At 38.7% G+C, this 27,560-nt stretch overlaps 1 protein-coding gene across 6 annotated transcripts in view, besides 2 other annotated features; it reads right to left on the minus strand.

Annotated features, from left to right (window-relative positions):
* Positions 11,623–12,165: an enhancer, noted in NCBI's record as "H3K27ac-H3K4me1 hESC enhancer chr9:5293254-5293796 (GRCh37/hg19 assembly coordinates)". NCBI's record gives its function as "activates a minimal SCP1, AML or CMV promoter by ChIP-STARR-seq in naive H9 embryonic stem cells {active_cell/tissue: H9 hESC(naive)}" and the evidence as "EXISTENCE:reporter gene assay evidence [ECO:0000049][PMID:30033119]".
* RLN2 (relaxin 2) overlaps positions 18,233–27,560 on the minus strand; it is a 39,463-nt gene continuing 30,135 nt past the window's right edge. The window contains exons 2-5 of one of the 6 annotated variants that reach the window (XM_047423707.1): positions 26,363–26,637; positions 24,042–24,117; positions 22,739–22,887; positions 18,233–18,813 (exon numbers count right to left, since the gene is read on the minus strand). In XM_047423707.1, coding sequence (XP_047279663.1) covers positions 18,467–18,813; positions 22,739–22,887; positions 24,042–24,055 — 510 coding nt within the window. In that variant the 5' untranslated portion in view covers positions 24,056–24,117; positions 26,363–26,637 and the 3' untranslated portion in view covers positions 18,233–18,466. Of the gene's footprint in view, positions 18,814–22,464; positions 22,635–22,738; positions 23,086–24,041; positions 26,638–27,560 lie in introns of those variants that run through there. The other 5 variants (NM_005059.4, XM_047423709.1, NM_134441.3 and 2 more) reach the window with 5 other exon arrangements.
* Positions 22,961–23,010: an enhancer, noted in NCBI's record as "active region_28157". NCBI's record gives its function as "activates an Ori minimal core promoter by ATAC-STARR-seq in GM12878 lymphoblastoid cells {active_cell/tissue: GM12878}" and the evidence as "EXISTENCE:reporter gene assay evidence [ECO:0000049][PMID:35858748]".

Consider the following 27,560-nt stretch of genomic DNA (forward strand, 5'->3'; position numbering starts at 1 on the left):
ACTCAAGATGGATTAAAGGCTTAAACGTAAGACCTAAAGCCATAAAAACCCTAGAAGGAAACCTAGGCAATACCATTCAGGACATAGGCATGGGCAAGGACTTCATGACTAAAACACCAAAAGCAATGGCAACGAAAGCCAAAATTGACAAATCGGATCTCATTAAACTAAAGAGCTTCTGCACAGCAAATGAAACTATCATCAGAGTGAACAGGCAACCTACAGAATGGGAGAAAATTTTTGCAATCTACCCATCTGACAAAGGGCTAATATCCAGAATCTACAAAGTACTTAAATTTACCAGAAAAAAAAACAACCCCATCAAAAAGTGGGCAAAGGATATGTACAGGCAATTCTTAAAAGAAGACATTTCTGTGGCCGATAAACATATGAAAAAAAGCTCATCGTCACTGGTCATTAGAGAAATGCAAATCAAAACCACAATGAGATACCATCTCATGCCAGTTAGAATGGCAATCATTAAAAAGTCAGGAAACAACAGGTGCTAGAGAGGATGTAGAGAAATAGGAATGCTTTTACACTGTTGGTGGGAGTGTAAATTAGTTCAACCATTGTGGAAGCAGAGTGGAGATTCCTCAAGGATCTAGAACTAGAAATACCATTTGACCCAGCAATCCCATTACTGGGCATATACCCAAAGGATTATAAATCATTCTACTATAAAGACACATGCACACATATGTTTATTGTAGCAGTATTTACAATAGCAAGGACTTGGAACCAACCCAGATGTCCATCAATGATCGACTGGATAAAGAAAACGTGGCACATATACACCATGGAATACTATGCAGCCATAAAAAACGATGAGTTCGTGTCCTTCGCAGGGACATGGATGAAGCTGGGAACCATCATCCTCAGCAAACTCATACAGGAAAAGAAAACCAAACACCACATGTTCTCACTCATAAATGGGGGTTGAACAATGAGAATACGTGGACACAGGGAGGGGAACATCACATACTGGAGCCTGTTGGGGGTTGGGGGCAAGGGGAGGGATAGCATTAGGAGAAATATCTAATGCATGCAGGGCTTGAAACCTAGATGACGGGTTGATGGGTGCAGCAAACCACCATGGCACATGTATACCTATGTAACAAATCTGCATGTTCTGCACATGTAACCCAGAACTTAAAGTATACTAAAAGAATAAATAAATCAATAAATACATAAAAATAAATGGTGAAAAAAAAAGAAAATCAACTTATGCAATACATCATACTAACAGGCTAAAGAGAAAACATCGCATGATTATATCAACAAATTCTGAGGAAACATTTGATAAATCCAACACTCGTGCATAATAAAAGCTTTCAGCCAACTAGGAATAGAGGAGAACATCCTCACTTGATAAAGAATATCTACAGAAAACCCATAGTTCATATTGTACTAAATGGTTGGATACTAGAAAATTTCCTGCTAAGGTGAAGAAGAAGAAAAAACGTTTCCTTTTGTCCTTCATTACACACTGTTCGTGGGAATGTAAATTAGTACAGCCATTATGGAAAACAGTATAGAGGTTCCTCAAAAATTTTAAAATATAACACTATATAATCTAGCAAGTCCACCACTGGGCATATATCCAAAAGAAATTCAATCAGACTATCAAAGAAGTATCTGCATTCCCGTGTTTTCTCTAGCAGTATTCATAATAACCAATATATGAGATCAACTTAAGTGTCCATCAACTAGAGATAATGCACTTTATATGTGCAATGGAATACTATCAGCCATAAAAAAGGAGAAATTCCCGTCATTGTGACAATATGGGTAAACCTCAATGACTGTATATTAAGAGAAATAAGTCAGACACAGAAAAATATTGCATGATCTCACTCATAAGTGGCATCTTGAAGAGTATTTCTACATCTCATAGAAGTAGAAAGCAGAATGGGCTCACTAAAAATAAGAGACCTAATTCTAGGACTATAAAACCCATATCTCCTCCCCCCACACACCTACCTTGCAATCACATCAATTGCACCCTAAATAATAACAGTGGCTTACAAGCAAAAGAACTGTAAGCCTCAGACCTTATTTAAGAAGTCTTTGGGAATATTCAAAGATAACAGGGGAGACAAAAGCAAAGACATCAGAGAATTTTAGCCTCTGAGACTTACAGCTACAACATAAGTTAAATATACCAAAGACCTATTTACATCAGGTCCTTTACCCATCATGTTTGGCTTTTAACAAACATTACAAAGTATACTAAAAGGCAAAAAATACAATTTGAAAATACAAAAAGCATCAGACCAGACCCAGATATGGCAGAAATTTTGGAAATATCAGACTGGGAATTTAAAATAACTGTGATTACTGTACTAAGGTCTCTAATGGAGTCGACTACATGCATGCACAGAAGCATAATGTAAGTAAAGTGATAGATGCTCTAAGAAAGATTTTTTAAATGACAGAAATTTAAAACACTAACAGAAATTTAAAAATGCTTTTGATACACTTATCATAGATTGAATGCAGTCAAGGAAAGTACCAGGGCCTTAAGGATATGTCATAGAAACCTCTCAAATGATAAGGCAAAAATAAAAAAGAAACTTTAAAGAATGGAATACAATATACAAGAACTGTAGAACGAGCACAAAAGGTATAACATATGAATTGTAGGAATGCCACAAAGAGAAGGAAAGGAGAAAAGAACTGAGAAACATTTAAGAAATAATGACTAATAATTTGCCCAAATAAATGTCAGACACCAAACCACAAATCCAGGAAGTGCAGAGAATGTCAAAGAGGATAAATACTAATCTACAGCTAGATACAACATATTCAAACTGTAGAAAATCAAAGACAGAAAATTTTGAAAGAAACCAAAAGAAGAAGAAAAAAAAACATGTACAACACACCCACAGCTAATATAATATTGACTGTGGAAAAACTGAAGGCCTTTGCTCTAAGATCTGGAACATGACAAGGATGCCCACTTTCACCCCTGTTATTTAACACAGTACTGGAAGTCCCAGCTAGGGCAATCAGACAAGAGGAAAAACTAAAGGCCTGGGAAAGTGTGAAGAGGCTCCGCTGCTGTGGGGTGGGGTGTCACCAGTTGGTGCAGACCCCAAGTGGTCTGATCCTTGGACTCCCAGTGGGTCCAAATAAGTGCACGGTGGCTCTCCTGCTCGAGAGGGTCAGCTCTCAGGCTCTGGGGAGCATGTGCATCAGCTCCTTCTGTATTGGGGTTAGCCTGCCCCTTGTGCTGGTTAACTTGTTACCTGGGATGCCGGGTGATGATGTGTGGGCTCGGGTGCATGGGTTCATGGCTGCACTGCTGGGCCCAGCTGGAGTCATGGTACTGCAGCCTTTTGCGTGGATGTGATGGGATAATGGCAAAGCACTAGGGATGTACAGATGTATGGGGTCATTGGCCCCTGGGCAGAATGTGCTCTGACAGTGGTTTCATTCTCAAAATGGCACATGCTGCAGCAGTCTGAGTCCTGGAAATTCTGGGAGCATCAGTGTGATTTCCTCCCTGGAGTAATGCAGTCACGTGGATTCCAGGCAGCTCTCTACCCTGAACTCAAGGCCTGTGAGGATTATAGGGCTCTCCTGCAGTTAGGATTACAGGTGTCTGTGGTAGGAATATGAACTTCCCGGGATCTTCCACTTATCTTTTCCCTGCAATAAAGAGTCCTTCTTGGCTCTGAGTAGATCCCAACCAGATGCTTTGCCTACCTCCCTATGCTGCCATCCCAAGTTTCCATGCCTTAAAGAGTCTTGCTGAATTCTGTTATTCTCCCCTAGAACCTCTATTTGATGTATGGTTATATACTTGTTATTTTTGCCCTTCTTTGTGAAGAAGGTGAATGCTGGGCACCTCTAGCCAGCCATCTTGATGACATCTCCTCTCTAATAGGGAGTTATTGATCAAAGGGTGCAAAGGTTCAGATGACAAGAGGAATAGATTTCAAGAGCTGTTGCACAGCAGGGGGTCTATAGTCAATAATAATGTATAATATATTTCAAAATAGCTAAGAGAGTACATTTCAAGTGTCTCATAAAAAATGATAGGTCAGCAAGGTGATGAATGTGTTAATTAGCTTGATTTAATAATTCCACATTGTATACATATATCAAAACATCACATTATACCCCATGAATGTATATAATTATGATCTGTCAATTGAAAATAATACAATAAAAGAAAAAGAAAAGAGCCCAATGATATACTACATCACGTCCATTAGGATGGCTCTAATGCAAAAAGGAAAATAACAAATGTCAGAGATGTAGAAAAATTGAAACATTCATGCACTATTGGTGGAAATGTAAAGTGGTGTAGCTTCTGTGGAAGACAGTAGGGTAGAGAAGACAGTAGGGTGGTTCCTCAAAAAGTTAAAAGTAGAAAGACCACATGATCCAGCAATTCCATTCCTAGGTATGTACTCCAAATAATTAAAAATAGGCAGTTGCACAGATAGTTATATACTAATGTTCACAGCAGCATTATTCACAAAAACTAAAAAGATAAAAATAAACTAAATGTCCATCAATGGACAAATGAATAAACAAAATGTAGTGTGTGTGTGTGTGTGTGTGTGTGTGTGTATGTGTGTGTATATATATCTATATAATACATGTATTTATATATATAATGAAACATTATTCCTCCATGAAAAGGAATGATCTTCTGACACATGCTGGAACATGGCTGAATCTGAAAAATGGTAAGTGAAATAAGCCAAACACAAAAAGACAAATATTCTATGATTCTATCTACATGAAGTAGCTAGAGTAGTCAATTTCACAAACACAGAAAGTAGAATAGTGGTTACCAGGGGCTTGAAGTGACAGAATGGGGATGTCATGTTTAATGAATACAGAGTTTCAGTTTGAGATGATGAAAAAGTTCTGGAGATAGATAGTGGTGATGGTGTACAACAATGTGAACATACTTAATGCCACTAAACTTACACTAAAATATAATTAAAATGGCACATTTTTGGTATGGGTATTTCATCATAATAAAAAAATGCAAAATTATAAAACTCTTAGAAGATGACATAGGAAAAAACTCTTAAGTGACATTGGGCTTGTCAATGACTCTTTAGATACAATACTAAACACAGTCTGAGAATACAAAAATTGATAAATTGGACTACATTAAAATTATAACTTTCTACTCTTCAAAAGATATGCTTCAAGAGAATAAAATGACAAGCCATAGACTGGGGCAAAATATTTGCAAAATATATCTGATAAAGGACAATTACTCAAAATACACAGAGAACTCTTAAAACTTAACAATAGGAAAAAAATCCCAATTTTTTTCCGACTTTTATTTTAAGTTCAGGGGTACATGTGCAGAATGTGCAGATTTGTTACATATGTAAACATGTGCCATGGTGATTTGCTACACAGATCATCCCATCACCTAGGTATTAAGTCCAGCATCCATTAGCTATTCTTTCCGATGCTCTCCCTCCTCCCGTCCCCCATTTTCTGACAGGCCCCAGTGTGTGTTGCTCCCTGCAACCCCCATGTGTCCATGTGTTCTCATCATTTAGCTTCTGCTTATAAGTGAGAACATGTGGTATTTGGTTTTCTGTTCCTTTATTAGTTTGCTGAGGATAATGGCTTCCAACTCCATCCCTGTCCCTGCAAAGGACATAATCTCATTCGTTTTTATGGCTGTATAGTATTCTATGGTGTATATGTACCACATTTTCTTTATCTAGTCTATCATTGATGGTCATTTAAGTTGACTCCATCTCTTTGTTATTGTGAATAGTGCTGCAATGAATGTACACGCGCATGTATCTTTATACTAGAATGATTTATATTCCTTTGGGTATTCATCCAGTAATGGATTGCTGGGTCAAATGGTATTTCTGCCTCTAGGTCTTTGAAGAACTGCCACACTGTCTTCCACAATGGTTGAACTAATTTACACTCCCACCACAGTGTAAAAGTGTTCCTTTTTCTCTGCAACCTCACCAGCATCTGTTGTTTTTTGACTTTTTAATAATAGCCATTCTGGCTGGTGTGAGATGGTATCTCATTGTGGTTTTGATTTGCATTTTCTCTAATGATTAGCAATGTTGAGTATTTTTTTTTTCATGTTTGCTGGCCGCATGTACATCTTCTTTTGAGAAGTGTCTGTCCATGTCCTTTGCCCACTTTTTACTGGGGTTGTTTGTTTGTTTCTTGTAAATTTGTTTAAATTCCTCACAAATGCTGAATATTAGTTCTCTGTCAGATGGATAGATTGCAAACATTTTCTTCCATTCTGTAGGTTTTCTGTTCATGCTGATGATAGCTTCTTTTGGTGTACAGAAGTTCCTCAGTTTAATTAGATCCCATTGGTTGCTTTTGCTTTTGGCAATCATTAAATCTTTGCCCGTGCCTATGTCCTAAATGGTATTGCCTAGATTTTCTTCTAGGATTTTTATAGTTTTGGATTTTACATTTAAGTCTTTCATCCATCTTGAGTTGATTTTTGTACATGGTGTAAAGAAAGGTTGCAGTTTCAATTTTCTGCATATGGCTAGCCAGTTCTTATAGCACCATTTATTGAATAGGGAGTCCTTTCCCCATTGCTTGTATTTGTCAGTTTTGTCAAAGATCAGATGGTTGTAGGTGTGTGGTCTTACTTCTGGGTTCTCTATTCTTTTCCATTGGCCTATGTGTCTGTTTTTGTAGCAGTACCATGCTGTTTTGGTTACTGTAGTCCTGTAGTGCAGTTTGAAGTCAGGTAGCATGATACCTGCAACTTTGTTTTTTGTTTCTTTGTTTGTTTGTTTTTTAGGATTTTCTTGGCTATTTGGGCTCTTTTTTGGTTCCACGTGAACTTTAAAATACCTTTTTCTAATTCTGTGAAGAATGTCAGTGGTAGTTTAATGGGAATTGCATTGAATCTGTAAATTGCTTTGGGCAGTATGGCCATTTTCACAATATTAATTCTTCCTATCCATGAGCATGGAATATTTTTCCATGTTTATGTCATCTGTGATTTCTTTGAGCAGTGGTTTATAGTTCTCCTTGAAAAGGTCTTTCACTTTGCTTCTTAGCTATATTCCTAGGTATTTTATTCCTTCTGTAGCAATCCATTCATTGAATGAATAAGACTTCACTCATTCATGAGATTTCATTCATGATTTGGCTCTAAGCTTGCCTGTTGGTGTACAGGAATGCTAGCAATGTTTGCACATTGATTTTGTATTATGAAACTTTGCTGAAGTTGCTTATCAGTTTAAAAAGCTTTTGGGCTGAGACACTGAGGTTTTCTAGATATAGGATCGTAACATCTACAAACAAAGATAGTTTGACTTCCTCTATTCCTATTTGAATATCCTTTATTTCTTTCTCTTGCCTGATTGCCCTGGTTAGGACCTCCAATACTACGTTGAATAGGAGTGGTGAGTGAGGGCATCCTTGTCTTGTAAGGTTTTCAAGGGGAATCCTTCCAGCTTTTGCCTATTCAGTATGATATTGGCTGTGGCTTTGTCATAAATGGCTGTTATTATTCTGAAGTATGTTCCTTCGATACCTAGTTTATTGAGAGTTTTTAACATGAAGGGATGTTGAATTTTATTGAAGGTCTTTTCTGCATGTATTGAGGTAATCAGTTGGTTTTTGTCTTTAGTTCTGTTTATGCGACGAACTACGTTTATTGATTTGTGTATGTTGAACCAACTTTGAATCCTTGGGTTGAAGCCTACTTGATCATGGTAGATAAGCTTTTTAATGTGTTGCTGGATTCCGTTTACCAGTATTTTACTGAGGATTTTTGCAATGATGCTCATCAAGGATAGTGTCCTGAAGTTTGCTTTTTTTATTGTATCTCTGCCAGGTTTTGGTATCAGGATGATTCGGACCTCATAGAATGAGTTAGGGAGGAGTCCCTTCTCTTCAATTTTTTGGAATAGTTTCAGTAGAAATGGTACCAGCTTTTCTTTGTACCTCTGGTACACTTCAACTGTGAATCCATCTGGTCCTGGGCTTTTTTTTGTTGGTAGGCTATTTATTACTGCCTCAATTTCAGAACTGTTTGTCTATTTATGGATTCAATTTCTTCCTGGTTCAGTCTTGGAAGGGCGTATGGTGTCAAGAAATTTATCCATTTCTTCTAGACTTTCTAGTTTATGTCCACAGAGGTGTTTGTAGTAATCTCTGATGGTTGTTTGTATTTCGGTGGGGTCAGTGGTGATATCCCCCTTATCATTTCTGATTGTGTTTATTTGAATTCTCTCCCTTTTCTTCTTTATTTGTCTTGCTAGTGGTCTATCTATTTTATTAATTTTTTCAAGAAACCAGCTTCTGGATTTGTTGTTTTGAAGGGTTTTTCTTATAGAGACAAATCCCCCTCAGTTAAGCTCTGATCTTGCTTATTTCTTGTGTTCTGCTACCTTTGGGGTTTGTTTGCTCTTGGTTCTCTAGTTTTCTTAGTTGTGATGTTCGATTGTTGACTTGAGATCTTTTTAGCTTTTTGATGTGAAAAATCCCAATTTTAAAATGGGCAAAAAATTGAAGAAATACTTTACCAAAGAAGATATGCTGATGGCTAATAAGCAAGTGAAAAAAAATTTCAACATCTTATATCATTTGCAAATTGTAAGTTAAAACAACAATGAGATATCTTTACAGAACTATTAGAATGGCTAAAATCCAAAATGCTGACAACACCAAATGCTGATGAGGACATGGAGCAACAGGAATTCTCATTCATTGTTGGTAGAAATGCAAAATGATACAGCTATTTTAGAAGACAGTTTAGCAGGATTTTTTCAACTAAACATATTCTTACCATGTGGTTTAGCAATCACATTTCTTGGTATCTACCCAAGTGAGCTGAAAATTTATTTCAGCATAAAAACCTGCACATGAGTGAGTATGGCAGCTTTATTCATAATTTCCCAGACCTGGAAGCAACCAAAATGACTTTAAGTAGGTGAATGAATAAATAGACTGTGGTGCATTTAGACAAGGAATACTATTCAGTGCTAAAAGGAAAGAGTGAACAAGCCATGAAAATACACTGAGGAACTTTAAAAGCATATTACTAAGTGAAAGAAGCCAATCTGAAAAGGCTGTATCACGTATAATTACACCTGTATGAGGTTCTGGAAAGGCAAAACCATGGAGACAGGAAAAAGATCAGTGATTGTCAGGGATTTGGGGAGAGAGAGGCATGAACAGGGGGAGCATAAGGAATTTTTAGGGCAGTAAAATCTATTTTGAATAATTCTATAAGGAGGATACATATCATTAGACATTTGTCAAAACCCATAGAATGTAAAATACAAAGAGTAAACCGTAATGTAAATTATGGGCTTTGATTAATAATAATGTCAAGGTTCCTTCATCAGCTGTAACAAAGGTACCACATGTAACAAACTTACAGATGATGTGGACTGCGGTAAGGGGATATGGTTGGGGGAGTATGCAGTAACATTCTGTATTTTCTACTTAAATTTCCTGTGAACTTAAAACTACTTTCAAAAGTCAATTAATTTTTAAAAATCCATAGAGTGTACTCTAAACAGTAAAATCCAAAGAGTGAACTCTAATGTAAACTATGGGCTTTAATTAATAATAATAATATATCAATATTGGTTCAGTTGCTGCACAAGTACCACACTAATGCAAGGTGTTATTTATAGTTAAAACTGTTTTTGTGGTGAGGTGAGGAGCCATATGGGAAGTGACTCTACTTTCTACTATATTTTTCTGTAAACCTAAAATTACTTTTAAAAATGATTTTATTAATTTAAAAACAAATATAAGTATTTTCTGTCAAAAGAAACAAACACCTTTTTAAAGAGAAAAAAAATATGTCTACACATACACCTGGTAAGTGCCGAGGCTACAATTCTACCCATGTCCACCGGATTCCAAAAAGGTCTTTCTTTTTTCCACAATATCCCATGGATTTACCTGCAGTTGAAGTCAATCTAATGGTGAAGGGTAATAGACAAACATGAAAGTCTTTCAGACAGTAATTACGGATACAAGAACAGAGAGCGTGAGTGCATCTATAAGTTAACTATGCCAACCTCTTTTTCTAGAAACTTCTCCCTAGACTATCTAAACTCTTGAGGCTATAAGTGCTAGATACGATTTCTCAATGTTTCTTGCAGGTAGCAGTGTCCATATGACACAGCTCTTGCCAACATACCATGAGCACAAGTGAGGTTTCTGGAAAAGCCTTTGCTTTTCTCTTCTAGGCATTAAGCCCTCTTGTTTCCCCCTTTCTTTCCTGCCTGAAATGCAGACCGAGAAAGGAAGAGGAAGCAGCCATCTTGGGACCCACCATGTGGTAGGGAGCATAAGGAGGAAGGCCTCTATGCTAGGCACAGGTGACTGGAAAGTTGGGAGGAGCCTGCTGGTAGCATTCAGAGGCTAAACAGGGGCAGATACTTACTTACTCCATGGGCCTCTTAGAAGCTACTTTTGTAGGGTATTCTGTTATTTACAGAGAACACAGTCTTAACTGATACATAGTATCAATAGAGTAAATGTTTTATTTGAGACATAAGTTAAACTTACAAGTTTTTCATGACAGTTTTAGGTGGACTTTAGTAGCACTTGAAATATACATTTTAAAGGTTGAAGTAATTATTTACATTTTTGTAGTAGACAGTTAACCATAAATTATCTTTGAACCACTCAAAAAGCGGACATACCATCAGAAGCAGTAAATATGGCTTCTAATTCAGTGACTCTGCCTCCATGGAATTTGTGAAGGAGCAGATGTGAAACATGGGCTCAGACAGGGTCTGGGTAACAGCCTTCTGTGTCTGGAGGTGCCTCTCTGTCCTGTAAGAGCTGTAAGTTTCCTGGGCATTGTCCTCATTCTTCTAGGTTGGAATCTCCATATCAGACAGCACTCTTCCTTGCTTCATCTGAGGTGGATTATGATCTGTGAGGTTTTGCAGTCATTTATGAAGCTTTGCAAGGTACCCTTGGTGAGGAATTAATAAATCCTAGAGACTTGGTTATTATTAGTTATGTATGGGAATTTGAAAAGCAGGAATTACTATCTTCATTTCTTAAAATTGTTTACAGACATTTGATGGAGGAGATAAATGCAGTTGTCATTGAACTGCATTTCTTCTATAAATGCTGGCTAAAATGCATGTGTATATAAATAGACAGAACCAAGGAGGAGGATTCAAGATGGCCAAATAGGAACAGCATTGGTCTGCAGCTCCCAGTGACATTGTCACAGAAGATGGGTGATTTCTGCATTTCTAACTGAGGTACCTGGTTCATCTCACTGGGACTGGTTGGACAGTGGGTGCAGCCCACGGAAGACAAGCCGAAGCAGGGCAGGGCATCACCTCAACTGGGAAGCACAAGGGGTGAGGGAATTTTCTCCCCTACCCAAGGGAAGCCATGAGGGTCTGAGCCTGAGGAACTCCGGCACAGATACTGTGCTTGTCCCATGGTCTTTGCAACCTGCAAGCCAGGAGATCCCCTCTGGTGCCTACCCAACCAGGGCCCTGGGTTTCAAGCACAAAACTGGGCGGCCAATTGGGCAGACATCAAACTAGCTGCAGGAGATCTTTTTTTTTTTTCCCCATACCCCAGTGGTGCCTGGAATGCCAGCGAGACAGAACTGTTCACTCCCCTGGAAAGGGGTGCTGAAGCCGGGAGCCAAGTGATCTGGCTTGGCGGGTCCCACCTACACAGAGCCCAGGAAACTAAGATCCACTGGCTTGAAATTCTCGCTGCCAACACAGCAGCAATCTGAGATCCACCTGGGACATTCGAGCTTGGTTGGGGGAGGGGGATCCACCATTGTTGAGGCTTGAGTAGGCAGCTTTATGGTCACAGTGTAAACAAAGCCACTGGGAAGTTCAAATTGGGCAGACCCCACTGCAGCTCAGCAAGGCTGCTATGGCCAGACTGCCAGATTCCTCCTCTCTGGACAGGGCATCTCTGTAAAACAGGCAGCAGCCCCAGTCAGGGGCTTATAGCATACTTAAACATCCCTGCCTGATGGCTCTGAAGAGAGCAGTGGACTTCCCAGCACAGCGTTCAAGCTCTGCTAAGGGTCAGACTGCCTCCTCAAGTGGGTCCCTGACCCCTATGTATACTGACTGGGACACACCTCCCAATAGGGGCCAACAGACATCTCATACAGGAGACCTCTGGCTGGCATCTGGGAGGTGCCCCTCTGGGTCGAAACTTCCAGAGGAAAGAACAGGCAGTAATCTTTGCTGCTCTGCAGTCTCTGCTGGTGATACCCAGGCAAACAGGACTGGGAGTGGACCTCCAGCAAACTCCAGCAGACTGGCAGCAGAGGGGGCCTGACTGTTAGAAGGAAAAGAAATAAACAGAAAGGATTAGCACACCCACTCAAAGACCCCATCTGAAGGTCGCTAATATCAAAGACCAAAGGTAGATAAATCCACAAAGATGGGGAAAAACCAGTGCAAAAGGCTGAAAATTCCAAAAACCAGAATGCCTCTCCTCATCCAAAGGATCACAACTCCTTGCCAGCAAGGAACAAAACTGGATGGAGAATGAGTTTGACAAACTGATAGAAGTAGGCTTCAGAAGGTGGGTAATAACAAACTCCTCCAAGCTAAAGGAGCATGTTCTAACTCAATACAAGGAAGCTAAGAGCCTTGAATAAAGGTTAGTTGAATTGCTAACTGGAATAATCAATGTAGAGAAGAACATAAATGACCTGATGAAGCTGAAAAACACAGCACGAGAACTTTGTGAAGAATACACAAGTACCAATAGCTGAATTGATCAAATGGAAGAAAGGATATCAGTAATTGAAGATTAACTCATTGAAATAAAGAGAGAAGACAAGATTAGAGAAAAAAGAATAAAAAGGAATGAACAAAGTCTTCAAGAAATATGGGACTATGTGAAAAGACAAAATCTACGTCTGATTGGTGTACCTAAAAGTGAAGGGGAGAATGGAACCAAGTTGGAAAACACATCTCAGGATATTATCCAGAACTTCCCCAACCTAGCAAGACAGGCCAACATTCAAATTCAGGAAATACAGAGACCACCACAAAATACTCCTTGAGAAGAGCAACCCCAAGACACATAACTGTCAGATTCACCTAGGTTGAAATGAAGGAAAAAATGTTAAGGGCAGCCAGAGAGAAATATTGGGGCAGCCAGAGAGAAAGGTCAGGTTACCCACAAAGGGAGACCCATCAGACTAACAGTGGATCTCTCTGCAGAAACCCTACAAGCCAGTAAAGAGTAGGGACCAATATTCGACGTTCTCAAAGAAAAGAATTTTCAAACCATAATTTCATATCCAGCCAAACTAAGCTTCATAAAGGAGGGAGAAATAAAATCCTTTACAGACAAGCAGATGCTGAGGGATTTTGTCACCACCAGACCTGCCTTACAAGAATTCCTGAAGGCAGCACTAAACATGGAAAGGAACAACTGGTACCAGCCACTGCAAAAACATGACAAATTATAAAGAACATCGATGCTATGAAGAAACTGCATCAACTAACAGGCAAAACAACCAGCTAGCATCATAATGACAGGATCAAATTCACACATAACAATATTAATCTTAAATGTAAATGGGCTAAATGCCCCAATTAAAAGACACAGACTGGCAAATTGGATAAAGAGTCAAGACCCATCAGTGTGCTGTCTTCAGGAGACCCATCTGACGTGCAAAGACACACATAGGCTCAAAATAAAGGGATGGAGGAATATTTACCAAGCAAATGGAAAGCAAAAAAAAAAAAAAAGCAGGAGTTGCAATCCTAATCTCTGATAAAACAGACTTTAAACCAACAAAGATCAAAAGAGACAAAGAAGGGCATTGCATAATGGTAAAGGGATCAATTCACCAAGAAGAGCTAACTATCCTAAATATATATGTATCCAATACAGAAGAACCCAGATTCATAAAGCAAGTTTTTAGAGACCCGCAAAGAGACTTAGACTCCCACACAATAATAGTGGGAGACTTTAACACCCCACTGTCAATATTAGACAGACCAACAAGACAGAAAATTAACAAGGATATTCAGGACTTGAACTCAGCTCTGGACCAAGCGGACCTAATAGACATCTACAGAACTCTGCACCCCAAATCAAAAGAATACACATTCTTCTCAGCACCTCATCGCAGTTATTCTAAAATTGACCACATAATTGGAAGTAAAACACTCCTCAGCCAATAGAAAAGAATGGAAATCATAACAAACAGTCTCTCAGACCACAGTGCAATCAAATTAGAACTCAGGATTAAGAAACTCACTCAAAACCACACAATTACAAAAAAACTGAACAATCTGCTCCTGAATGACTACTGAGTAAATAATGAAATGAAGGCAGAAATAAAAATGTTCTTTGAAACCAATGAGAATGAAGACACAAAGTAACAGACTCTCTGGGACACATTTAAAGCAGTGTGTAGAGGGAAATTTATAGCACTAAATGCCCACAAGAGAAAGCAGGAAAGATCTAAAATTGATATCCTAATATTAAAAATAAAAGAACTAGAGAAGCAACAGCAAACAAATTCAAAAGCTAGCAGAAGACATGAAATAACTAACATCAGAGCAGAACTGAAGGAGATAGAGACATGAAACACCCTTCAAAAAATCAATGAATCCAGGAGCTGGTTTTTTGAAAAAACTCAACAAAATAGATAGACCGCTAGCCAGACTAATAAAGAAGAAATAGAGAAGAATCAAATAGACACAATAAAAAATGACATAGGGGATATCACCACTGATCTCACAGAAATACAAACTACCATCAGAGAATACTATAAACACTTCCACACAAATAAACTAGAAAATCTAGAAGAAATGGATAAATAACTGGACACAAACACCCTCCCAAGTCTAAGCCAGAAAGAAGTTGAACCCCTGAATAAACCAATAACAAGGTCAGAAATTGAGGCAGTAATTAATAGCTTACCAACCAAAAGAAGTCCAGGACCAGATGGATTCACAGCCAAATTCTAGCAGAGGTACAAAGAGGAGCTGGTACCATTCCTTCTGAAACTATTCCAAACAATAGAAAAAGAAAGAATCCTCCCTAACTCATTTTATGAAGACAGCATCATCCTGATACCAAAACCTGGCAGAGATACAACAAAAAAAGGAAATTGCAGGCCAATATCCCTAATGAACATCAATGAGAAAATCCTCAATAAAATACTGGCAAACTGAATCCAGCAGCACATCAAAAAGCTTATCCACCATGACCAAGTTGGCTTCATACCTGGGATGCAAGGCTGGTTCAACATACACAAATCAATAAACATAATCCATCACATAAACAGAACCAATGACAAAAACCACACGATTATCTCAATAGATGCAGAAAAGGCCTTCAATAGAATTCAACACCACTTCATGCTAAAAACTCAATAAACAGGTATTGATAGAACATATCTCAAAATAATAGGAGCTATTTATGACAAACCCACAGCCAATATCATACTGAATTGGCAAGAGCTGGAAGCATTCCCTTTGAAAACTGGCACAAGACAAGGATGCCTTCACTCATCACTCCTATTTAACACAGTACTGGAAGTTCTGGCCAGGGCAATCAGGCAAGAGAAAGCAGTACAGGTATTCGAACAGGAAGAGAGGAAGTCAAATTGTCTCTGTTGGCAGATGACGTGACTGTATATTTAGAAAACCCCATTGTTTCAGCCCAAAAACCCCTTAAGCTGATAAGCAACTTCAGCAACGTCTCAGGATACAAAATCAATGTGCAAAAATCACAAGCATTCGTATACACCAATAACAGACAAACAGAGAGCCAAATCATGAGTAAACTCCCATTCACAATTGCTACTAAGAAAATAAAATACCTAGGAATACAACTTACAAGGGAGGTGAAGTACCTGTTCAAAGAGAACTACAAACCACTGCTCAAGGATATAAGAGAGGATACAAACAAATGGAAAAGCATTCCATGCTCGTGGATACAAAGAATCAATATCATGACAATGGCCATATTGCCCAAAGAAATTTATACATTCAATGCTATCCCCATCAAGCTACCATTGACTTTCTTCACAGAATTGGAAAAAACTACTTTAAACTTCATATGGAACCAAAAAAGAGCCCGCATAGCCAAGACAATCCTGGGCAACAAGGACAAAACTGGAGGCATCGCACTATCTGACTTCAAACTATACTACAAGGCTACAATAACCAAAACAACATGGTACTGGTACCAAAACAGATATATAGATGAATGGAACAGAATGGAGGCCTCAGAAATAAACCACACATCTAGAACCATCTGATCTTCAACAAACCTGACAAAAACAAGCAATGGGGAAAGAATTCCCTATTTAATAAATGGTGTTTGGAAAACTGGCTAGCCATATGGAGAAAACTGAAACTGGACCCCTTCCTTACCTTATACAAAAATCAACTCAAGACGGATTAAAGACTTAAACGTAAGACCTAGGGCCATAAAAATCCTAGAAGAAAACCTGGGCAATTCCATTCAGGACATATGCATGGGCAAAGACTTCATGACTGAAACACCAAAAGCAATGGCAACAAAAGCTAAAATTGACAAAAGGGATCACATTAAACTAAAGAGCTTCTGGACAGCAAATGAAACTATCATCAGAGTGAACAGGCAACATACAGAATGGGAGAAAATTTTTGCAATCTGTCCATCTGACAAAGGCCTAATATCCAGAATCTACCAAGAACTTAAACAACTTCACAAAAAAAAAAACCCCATCAAAAAGTGGGCAAAGGATATGAACAGATACTTCTCAAAAGAAGACATTTATGCAGCCAACAGACATGAAAAAATACTCATCATCACAGGTCATTAGAGAAATGCAAATCAAAACCACAATGAGATACCATCTCATGCCAGTTAGAATGGCGATCATTAAAATGTCAGGAAACAACTGATGCTGGAGAGGCTGTGGATAAGTAGGAATGCTTTTACACTGTTGGTGGGAGTGTAAATTAGTTCAACCACTGTGGAAGACAGTGTGGTGATTCCTCCAGGATCTAGAACTAGAAATACCATTTGACCCAGCAATCCCATTACTGGGCATATGCCCAAAGGATTATAAATCATTCTACAATAAAGACATTTGCACATGTGTTTATTGCGTCACTATTCACAATAGCAAAGACTTGGAACCAACCCAAATGTCCATCAATGATAGACTGGATTAAGAAAACGTGGCACATATACACCATGGAATACTATGCAGCCATAAAAAAGGATGAGTTTATGTCCTTTGCAGGGTCATGGATGAAGCTGGAAACCATCATTCTCAGCAAACTATCACAAGATCAGAAAACCAAACACCACATGTTCTCACTCATAAATGGGAGTTGAACAATGAGAACACATGGACACAGGGAGGGGAATATCACACACCGTGGCCTGTTTGGGGGTGGGGGGCTAGGGGAGGGATAGCATTGGAGAAATACCTACTGTAGGTGATGGGTTGATGGGTGAAGCAAACCACCATGGAACATGTATATCTATGTAACAAACCTGCACGTTCTGCACATGTAACCAAGAACTTAAAGTATAATTTTTAAAAAAGAAAAAAAATAGACAGAACCAGTAAAATACTAAGTTGATAACTACGTCAGTTTACTTTTCTAACAAGTGTTCATACTATTTCAGTAATTTTGCTTACAGAAATAGTTTGCAAATTCTAAAGAAGTGAACATAAATTATGTTCCTTCATTATACTATTTCTTCTGTAATATATGATATGGACTTGTTTGTTCTGTTCTATATTATGTCTATTCCTTTTTATCCTTAAAAAATAATTTACTTTTAAGTTTCTTAGACACTGGAACTGAGAACAGAACCCTAGCTTGAAAAGTACTTGAGTTCCCTTCAGACTATACTAGAAAAAAAGGAAATTAAAAAGGAAAAAAAAGCGTTTGAGTTTATATGGTCTTAACTAAATTACATTGGTTTAGTGTCCAATCCGATTGTTTGCAATGAGTATTTCAATATGACACAAAAACCTTTTGTAATCTATTAGGAAAGGTCAAGTTTTATGGCTTTATCTATATCCAATCTAAGAGTTAATATCAATAAAACATTTTGGTCCATTTCATGTAACTGGTGTTAGGTATTGTTACTACTATATGGTGTTAGGTATTGTAACAACTGTATTGTTACTACGTATGGTTAAAGCGGTAGAGGTTTTATTGTAATTTTAAGTTAACAGCATTAAAAAGAATAACACAACATAATCATGCTGTTAATAAAAAGACAAAAAGGCTTTTCAGCAAAAAAATGTGTCATTTAATCACACAAAGAACATTTTCTTACACATCAAATAAAAAAATCTAAACATCAACAAAGATGTTTAGATATTCTAAGAATTGATGGGACCTAATATCTAACAAAGATTCTTAGATATTCTAAGAATTGATGGGACCTGATAGAAGCATCAGTGAAATGTCATTAAGAATATGTGTGAATATTATACGAGATGTGCACAATTAGCTTCATCTCAGCAAAATCTAGCAAGAGATCTTTTGGTACAACCAACATGGCAACATTTATTAGCCAATGCACTGTAGAGTTGTCTCTTTTTTCGAGAATGAGTATCCAAGCCTAAGTATTTTAATTCTGAAGGACTGCTGTCTGCGGCTTCACTTTGTCTATTGCGAATAAGTTTCTTAAATTCTTCAAAGAGAAGACTGGAATCTTTTAATACAGGTACATGTTGTTGTAGCTGTGGTAATGCTGGCTGCATCTCAGACAGGGTTAACTTCAGCTCCTGTGGCAAATTAGCAACAAATTCTGACATCATATTTATGGTTTCTGTATCTTTGTTGATGAAGGATGGCACAATTTCTGTTAAATTTAAAAAAAAAGGTGTATGTGAGGGTATATTCATGTCAAAGAGCACTCAGAAAAACTATGAATGTTTGCATAGACAAAAAAGCATTGCCTCAGTATAAATTAAACATTGAAACAAAATAAGCAAGCATCCTAATATCTAAACACTTAGCTTACTTACAGTTGGACACCTTAAAGTACCATAATTTTACCAAGGCTCTGCTTTACCCCATTGGTCCTCTCTCGTCTCTCTTCATGATCCCCTCAGTGCTTTTATCATAGTACTTTTGACTCTCCCTGACATTAATCTGTCATCTTTCTGAAGTCATGTAAGTCACTGAAAACAGTTTGACCACAGCTAGTGGTCATTTTCTTGGATTCTTCTTAGTTAAGTCATTTTCTTCCATTGCTATGATTTATGATATTATGAGTTGTAATAGTAACCCTTGAAAAAGATATTACTTTAAGCTATTGAATATTTCATGGTGGGAAGTTACTCCTGGAGGATAAAGTTAAAGAGGCAGAATTTCCAACACCTCTGATCTAATCAGCAGGAGAAAGAAGTCTCTGATGTTCCTTAACCATCTATTTAACAATTTGTCTTCCCCAGAGTATTTACTCCAAAACAATAGTATTTTATATGAAAGAGAGAAGTGGGTTAAAAGAACACTAACCAAAAATCACTGATTTAAGAAGAGATTTGTATCTGCTGTGGAGTATGTGTACTGACTAATGTTTTCTGTTTGATATTTGTTCCAAAGCTGCAGATCATGCACTATGCAAGATCTGTGTGTCTCCTAGGAAGGGAGCCTGTTCTTACACAGCATCCCAGGCTGGCCAAATGTGAAGGCTGGGACTTGGGCTGGGAACCTGCTGGACACCCAGCTGACATCTTCCTCCATCTTTGCACCCATTCAGCTCAGTTGAACATTCATTACCTGTTTCCATGTCTCTGGCACTGCCAGTTAAAAGATATAAATTTATTTAAATGTTTCTTGCTCTCAAAAAGCTTACAGTGAGTTAAACCCTCTCCTAACCTTAACTGTCCTAATTATACAACTTAATAGTTTTATTTCACAAAGAAATTAGAAACACGATGATGTTTAAATTACAGTGAAAACCCATATCAGGTCTTGCTGCTCTTCTTCCTGGACAGGAAAACTCTCCATTAACAAGGCATTACTCTTGAAATAATGAAAATAAAGAGAAGAGGGGAGTAAATCTAAGTGCGGGAGGCAGACACCTGGTTAACCACTGATGCCTGCTGATCAGAGGAAACCACGACCCTTCACCTAGACAGCGGTGGTTCTGGGGCTGATCATTTCCTGAGTTTTCTGGCAAGAGATTCAGTTGTTCCCCTTCTAGCCAACAAAAAAATTCAACAATTGGAGTTTGACAGAGGAATAAAAAAAAACAAACTGTAGTATTTCATCCTTCCTCCCAACACTCTCCCTCATTCATGTTCTAAACTGGAAATGACAGATGAGAATTTATATCGTTTTTGGTTAAATGAGAGGTTTTGGCATTTCCCCTCAGTAAGACATCCTAAGTTTAATTCAATTTCATCATAAAAACCTCTCTTTGATCCAACCTAAACTTTCTGTAGTTGGGGCCTTATTAAATACTGAAAGAAGCTGATGGTAATTTTCTATATACTTAAAGCCAGTTAAATGAGTCAGCCAAAACAGTTATAGTTTGTATTAGGTTTGTTCATAGGCTGTGTATTTTATACTTTTATTAAAATTATATTTTTAAACCTGTTTTGAAATATTTCATAATCCATAACACCTTTAGCTATGGAACCTAGGCTCAAAGAAAATATTCTGTCTGAATTCATACAAATACCCTTATTCACTTATTATTTTGGATGTAAATCTCACTAAAATAGGCCTCTTCTGGTTTAAAGGGTATCTTATTTTTAAAAGGGATGCAGTGAATATGATTTTAGCACATATTGTAGGATGAAATGGATGGCTAACAATGTAATAATGTGGAAGCAAATAGCAACTACCTAACAGTAGAAGTCTGAAAACTCAAATTAATCACAAATTACTGACATGTACTTCCAAAACGATTCCTACCTAGTAATGGTAAACATTTGTCTTAATCTCCACCTGCAGGCAATATTTTCTGAGGTTACTTTCAGTTAAATTATACTGCACATCAATAAAGAAAATTCTTTAAAAATACTTTGTAATCTCATGTCTCTTCAAAGGAAATAAAAATGTAGCCATATCTATATACAAATGTGCTTAATGAAGTATTTTCAGCAACAATTTAGAAATAAACTAAATATCCACCAAAGAATCCTTAAGTGTATGTGGCAGATTTATGACAAAAAATACTACACAGGAATTTCAAATTGTGTTTTGGGATAATAACAATGTGAGAAACTGCTCAAAGTATAATGGTGAGTGAAAATGCAAAAGATATATACATATACCTATCCAAATGTTAACATTTCTTTCCACTTACTTGTTTAATATAATTTCATTTTCTCATAAAATTCACATATACTTTTCAAAGTCCTTAATATCTACGAGTGCTTCTCATTTTTCACGCTGCATTAATGTACATTTGTCTTTAATATGAGCATTACTACTTTTATAGTCAGAAAATGTGGAATAATAAAGCAAATGCAATGCAATCCGGTCTTCTCTACTTTTTATCACTAAATTCCTAGACGTTGTGGTATTTTTGTACTAATGTTATACAAAAGTCATGTAAAAACTGCCATTAAATAAATCAAACTCTAACAATGTAGAAAAGTAAATAACTTTAGAAGCATACTTTAAATCTCATAAAAGAGAAGTAAATGTATTTCTGTTAGAGTCATTTATATATAGTATATGCATATAGCCTATAAAATTTAGTTGCGGTTTATCATAAATTACATGTCATACTAATACAAAACACTTAGTATTTGCAACTGCGGTTACTTTCTCTGAATTTAATATGACCCGTTACACTTCTTAGACTAGTATATACCTCCATGAGTTTCCACTGCTACTTTATAAATACTAAAATATTTTTAAAAGCCATTTCAGATTGAGCTGTACTCAACTCTAAGAGCTTGCCTTTAAAGCAAACCCACTGCAGCTTCCAAATGCTTGAAAGCATCAGTAGGGTCTTCAGCTATGATGGTCTGAACGGCCTGCTTTCCTTGTCTCTGGTCCTCTTGAGTTTCTCCTAAAGGCATTCAAGCCTTTCCTTTCTCTTCCATCCCCTGCCTCACAAATGAACTTCAATACCCAGATCAAAGAAGCGGGAGGTCAGACTCTTTCCTTTGGGATTTTCTGTTTGTTTATTTTAAAGAACGTTTCCAATGGCAAAGGCCACAGCCCAACTTCTGGACTAGGAGAGTCATTAAGTGTAAGGCCCTTCCTGTCTTCCCATCACGGGACCCTCACAGAGACCTCAGAGTGTTGCCCCGTCCTACAGGCGCGCAAACAGGCTTGATAACTAGCGCGCCGCCTCAGTGTTTGTCCCCTCTCCTCTCTATCCGAGAAGCCCTGTTCAGGTGCCCCCACCAGCACGCCCGCTGTCTGGCCGCCTGGCTTTCCTGTGGGGTGCAGGAGTGCGCCCGGCCTCCTGCGGGTCTCCGGGCGGCGTCACCTCCTCTGAGGCTTCCCCTCCCTTTCCACCCCGTCGCTCTGACTGCCTTACGGAAAGGGCACCAAGGAACTCTCGGGTGAAGCAGCTTCCTGTTCTCAGTGCTTTCCCTCCGTCCGGTGAGATTCCCAGTGAGACTGTTTGAATAAAATCACCTGGCAAAGGAAAAGCCCAAACTTTAGGGACCAGCCACGGCTGAGTAGGGGCTGAGCGGTGGCAGCCAATGAGATCTCGAGTCGGACGTGCAGGCCGCCGTTCCAATTGGGCGGCCGCCCCAGAGTAACCAATGGGAAGCGCGGGAAGGCCGGGAGGGGGCGGGAGCTCTCACCTGCCACTGGTCTAGGTGTCTGAGGAGCATCTTCCTGGCTCAGAGACCTTTTGCTCCAGGTGCTCATGCCGCAAATGGCAATCTGCGCGCGAACTAATTCGCGGCCGCATAATTTAATAACTTCCTCCATCCATGAGTCCGCGACTGCTCTGGAAAATTGGTTCAGTAGTAAACAGACTCCTAGCAGGTGGAAAAAAAACAGGCGAGGCATCCTGGGCCTGGTCTCTCCTGGAGGTCGGGACGTTGCAGCCTTTCAGGACTGCAGCTGCTGTGGCCTACACACCTGGGCCTGTGTGCCTGTCCCGGGCTTTAGGCTGCTTTCCCTACCCGGCTCAAGCGGTCTTTTGTATCCCTTGGGCTATCACTCAGCTTTTAAGGCAAGGGTGCCAGCTCCACCCCTTTCCCACACCCCTCCACAGAATTTTCCCCCTCAGCTCTTGGTCTCCCTCTCTGCCTTTCCTTCATTTGCCCATCCCTCTGTCCTTGGCCCTTTTACAGTTGTGTTCTTCTCATTCATTACCCTCAAACAATTTAGTATACTGAGGTAAAGTCATTTTAGATATGAAGCCTTTCCTTTTACACACACAGAAACAAATTTGAGATCACCCATATTCTTACAACTCAGTTTTCTAGAGTGAACATTTGCCAAAAAACCCTTCTAACCTAAATAAGATTATAGATTATCTTGTAAATTGGGTTAATTAGTATAGTGTTGGGTATATCAATCCATAAAAATATAAAAATAGAATGGATGAATAAATAAATTGTTGATGACAGGGAAAACTGATGACTTTTAATCTGAATGCAGGTAAAAACATTAAAATCCCCAGTAACATCATGTTAGGCTTGTGCAGTAATGTCTTTAATTTACAAAACAATTTCTCCATTGCACTTTCCTTCCACTCTTGGGGATAAATTTGATTGTAACTAGTTATCTGAACATTTTAATTTAAAATTCTAATCTACATCTCTGGAGACTGGAGAACATACCACACACACACACACACACACACACACACACACACACACACACAGAGAGAGAGAGAGAGAGAGAGAGAAGAAAAAAAAGCAGTGGAAATCCCACAATCCCACAAAGAATATTTTGGTAACAAATTACAGCACAAAGATATGTTTGTTTGTTTACTGTATTTTGTGTTTGCTGCACCTGGTAAGAGGTGATTTTTTACCATCATTTAATTTAACTTTCTAAAGATCCACACTGTTCTAGGTAATATGGTTAGTAGACAACCCTTCTACCTGTAAATTTTTAGTACAAGTAGGTTCATTTTTTAAAATAACTTACTTGCTTGTGTTCATAATATACTCAGATTAGTTCAGCTCCATCAGATAAACTGGAGACATGCAGGACATTAGGGTAGCTTTGAAATAAAAGAATAACAATCTCTTAGTTACAAACATAACTATGGAATCAAATAATTCTAATTTCTAGATTGCTGGTGATGTCAGTAGGCCCACTTAGCATTGGTCAAATGCCAAGCAATGTGTAATTCTTCAAAAAATACCTGACCAAGACTATGAGATGGTCAGATGCAATCAATGCTTTTAAATGAGTTTTCATTAAAACACGCAGTTTGAGAGAGGCCTCTCAAAACTGAGGTTTGAAAACATTTTTGTGGGTTGACAGTCCTTGTAAAAACAATCCATGTGCAAGGCTGTACTCCAAAGTAATTGGTCGTTAAAAATGTAAATTTCCAGGGATTTCTTTGTTTTTGTTTTTTGTTTTTTTTTTTTTTTTTTAACAGAATTTGGCTCTTGTCGCCAGGCTGGAGTGCAATGGTGTGATCTCAGCTCACTGCAACCTCCACCTCCCAGGTTCAAGCAATTCTCCTGCCTCAGCCTCTGAAGTAGCTGGGATTACAGGTGTGCACCACCACACCTGGCTAATTTTTGTATTTTTATTAGAGACTGGGTTTCACCATGTTGGACAGGCTGGTCTGAAACTCCTGACCTCAGGTGATGCACCCACCTTGGCCTCCCAAAGTGTCCAGGGATATTTTGATTTTTTATGTTGCCTACATGGTTTTATAGAGTCCTTAAAACTGTCCAGTACAATGCCCGCTTTCCCATTTTACAGAAAGAAGAAACAGATTGAGAGTTGTCATGCACTTATTCAGGGTAATTTTGGCCAGCACATATGCCAGATGTGGGCTTACCCTACTGCTAAGGATCACAGGCAAATGCAAGATTCACAGTCTTTACAGGCACAACTAAAAGGCATTTCAAGTCCTTTAAATAAAAAGGAAATCTTTTTAAGGAGAAACAATAAATATGTCCATGCATACAGCTGTCAATTGCTGGAGTTTGGGTTCCAACCCATGTCTACTGGATTCCAACGCCCCCTTTCCTTCATTTCCCTATATCCTAGATCCAGTTCCAGTTGTAGTTCATCTGAATAGTGAAGGTTAATATGTACAGAGTAATGTCTTTGAATGTAGGACAGCAGGAACATTCGAGGCTGTAAGTGCTAGACATGGTTTCCCAGTGTCTCTTACAAGTAGCAGTGTCTATGTGACACAGTTCTGTCTAATACAACCTAAGCACAAGTGTGGAGGTTTCTGGGAAAGCCTTTATTTCCTGATTCTAGCCCTAAGCCTTATTTCTCCTTTCTTTCCTTCCTGAAGCAGACATAGAAAGGGAGGTGAAGTAGCCCTCTTGGGACCATGAGGTGTGGAGCATAAAGAGGAAGGTCTATATGCTTAGACACAGCTGCCTGGGAGGGTGGGAATAGCCTGCTGGCAACATTGAGGGGCTAAATGGGGTTGGATGCTTTTTCTCACAGGCTCTTATAAGTAACTTTTTAAGGTTTTTCTGTTATTTACTCTATCCTGAGATAGATAGATGATAGATAGGTGATAGATAGATGATAGATAGATAGATAGAGGATAGATAGATAGATAGATAGATAGATAGATAGATAGATGATAGATAGATAGTGTGTGTATATATATATATGTGCAAAATACATTTTTATTAAGAAATAAACTTACAGTCATCAGTTTCCTATGAGAGTTTTAGGCATACTTTAGTGGCACTTGAATTAGATAGTCTAAGGATTGAAGTGATTATTTGAGTGTTTATACTAGATGGTTTACCACAGGAAATCTTTGTACCACTGAAAGAGGAGTCATATATTGAAAAGCAGTGAATACAGATTCTGGGTCCAGAAGCCCTGCCTCCACGGATTTTGTGGAGGACAGGATGAGGGATGTGGGTCAGGATGGGCTCTGCCGAGCTGCTTTCTGCATCTGGGGGTGCATCTTTGTCTTGTCCAAGTTGTAAGTTTCCTGGGCATTGCCCTCGTCCTTCTGTGTTGGAATCTCCATTTCATAGAGCACTCCTTTCAGCTTTGTCCCAGATGACAGGTGGCCTCTGAGCTTCTACAGCCCCATATTGAATTCCTTTGCTTGTGGCCTTCTACCTGCACCATCTTCCAGCGCCAACTTTGTCTATAGGGCTTTGCCAACAGTTGTAAGAGAAACTTATTTTTAAAATATATAAAACCCTGCTCTTTTATATTTTACCACTAATCTCTTTTCCTAGTTTTGTATTTTCTACAAAATTCTTATTGTTTCCCATGATCTGTCAACAACAGGCAACTCATACCTGATCCCAATGACAGTCGGTGCTACATTGGATCTGTTTTTTTTCTAGTTTTTTTTTTAAATTATTATTTCATTGAGATTTGGAGAATAAGAAGAAGTAAACACTTTTATTCAAGCCTCCAGTGCTGACTCTCCCCAGATGCCTTTGGAACTGCTCCAGATGTTTATGCTTTCCTTTCAGGTTATCATGCTGCTTTATCCAGAAGAATCAAACAAGAAATGAAGGGCCATCGTGATCTTCAAAAAGTCTTCTTCTCAGCAAACTGCTGGAAATACCTTGGTTAAGAGATTAGGAAAGATAAATAACTTCATTAGTTTTTTCCTCACTTCTTACTTCTACTCAAGTAATAGCGTATGTATGGAAAGAAAGTTCAGAAAGAATCACCCCTGGCCAGGTCTGGTGGTCCCAGTAATCATCACCCAGGCCTCAGAGAAATTCAAAAACAAAAACAAAACAATAAGATGTCACTGTTTGCTTTTATTGGGGTTTGTGGTTTTACTGTTATGCTGGGCATTGGCTCTCACGTGTGTTCTCCAGTCTCTGACCATACAATCCAGCCATTGCCACAATCACATATGGAACATCACAAGGGACCCCAGAGCCCGGCTCTTCCATCTAAATTTAGGTTAAAATTAATGTCAAAGCATCAAGGGTTGATCTGTTCTATAAGGCCTAAAATTAATCCCAACATTATGTGCTGCCCTGACATCTGGTAAAACTGGGATGGCCTCACATGGCCTGACCACAAGTTTCCTCCCTCACTCTGCTCCTGCAAAAAACCCTCCACTCAAGAGAGCCAGACACAGTTCCTGCTTATTCCTGAATAGCAAGTTTCAGCTCTCTGCCAGCCCTGGAATTATTCAAAGAAGGCAGTCACATCCTTTCGTGGTAACCAGGGGTCACCTTACCCTTTTGATACTGCAAAGCCTGCCTCACACGGCCCCTCTTATTCAGTCTGTTCCCAACTGCAACACCCACGTGGCCCTGCATGGCATTTAGTGTCCTTATCCTCCATCCTGTAATTCTATGTAATTAATAAATTTCTGTCAGTCTCATTAGGCCAGTATCACTTGTCATATGTTTGGCCATGTGCGTAATCCTAAGGCAGGAATCCCTCCCACTCCAACAGGGTGAATAGGAGGTGATTAAAACAACCAACTACTACAACATATCTCCTCCTCTTCTTTGTTCCTAGAGG

This window comes from Homo sapiens, chromosome 9 (assembly GCF_000001405.40).
Source record: "Homo sapiens chromosome 9, GRCh38.p14 Primary Assembly".
Taxonomy (NCBI): domain Eukaryota; kingdom Metazoa; phylum Chordata; class Mammalia; order Primates; family Hominidae; genus Homo; species Homo sapiens.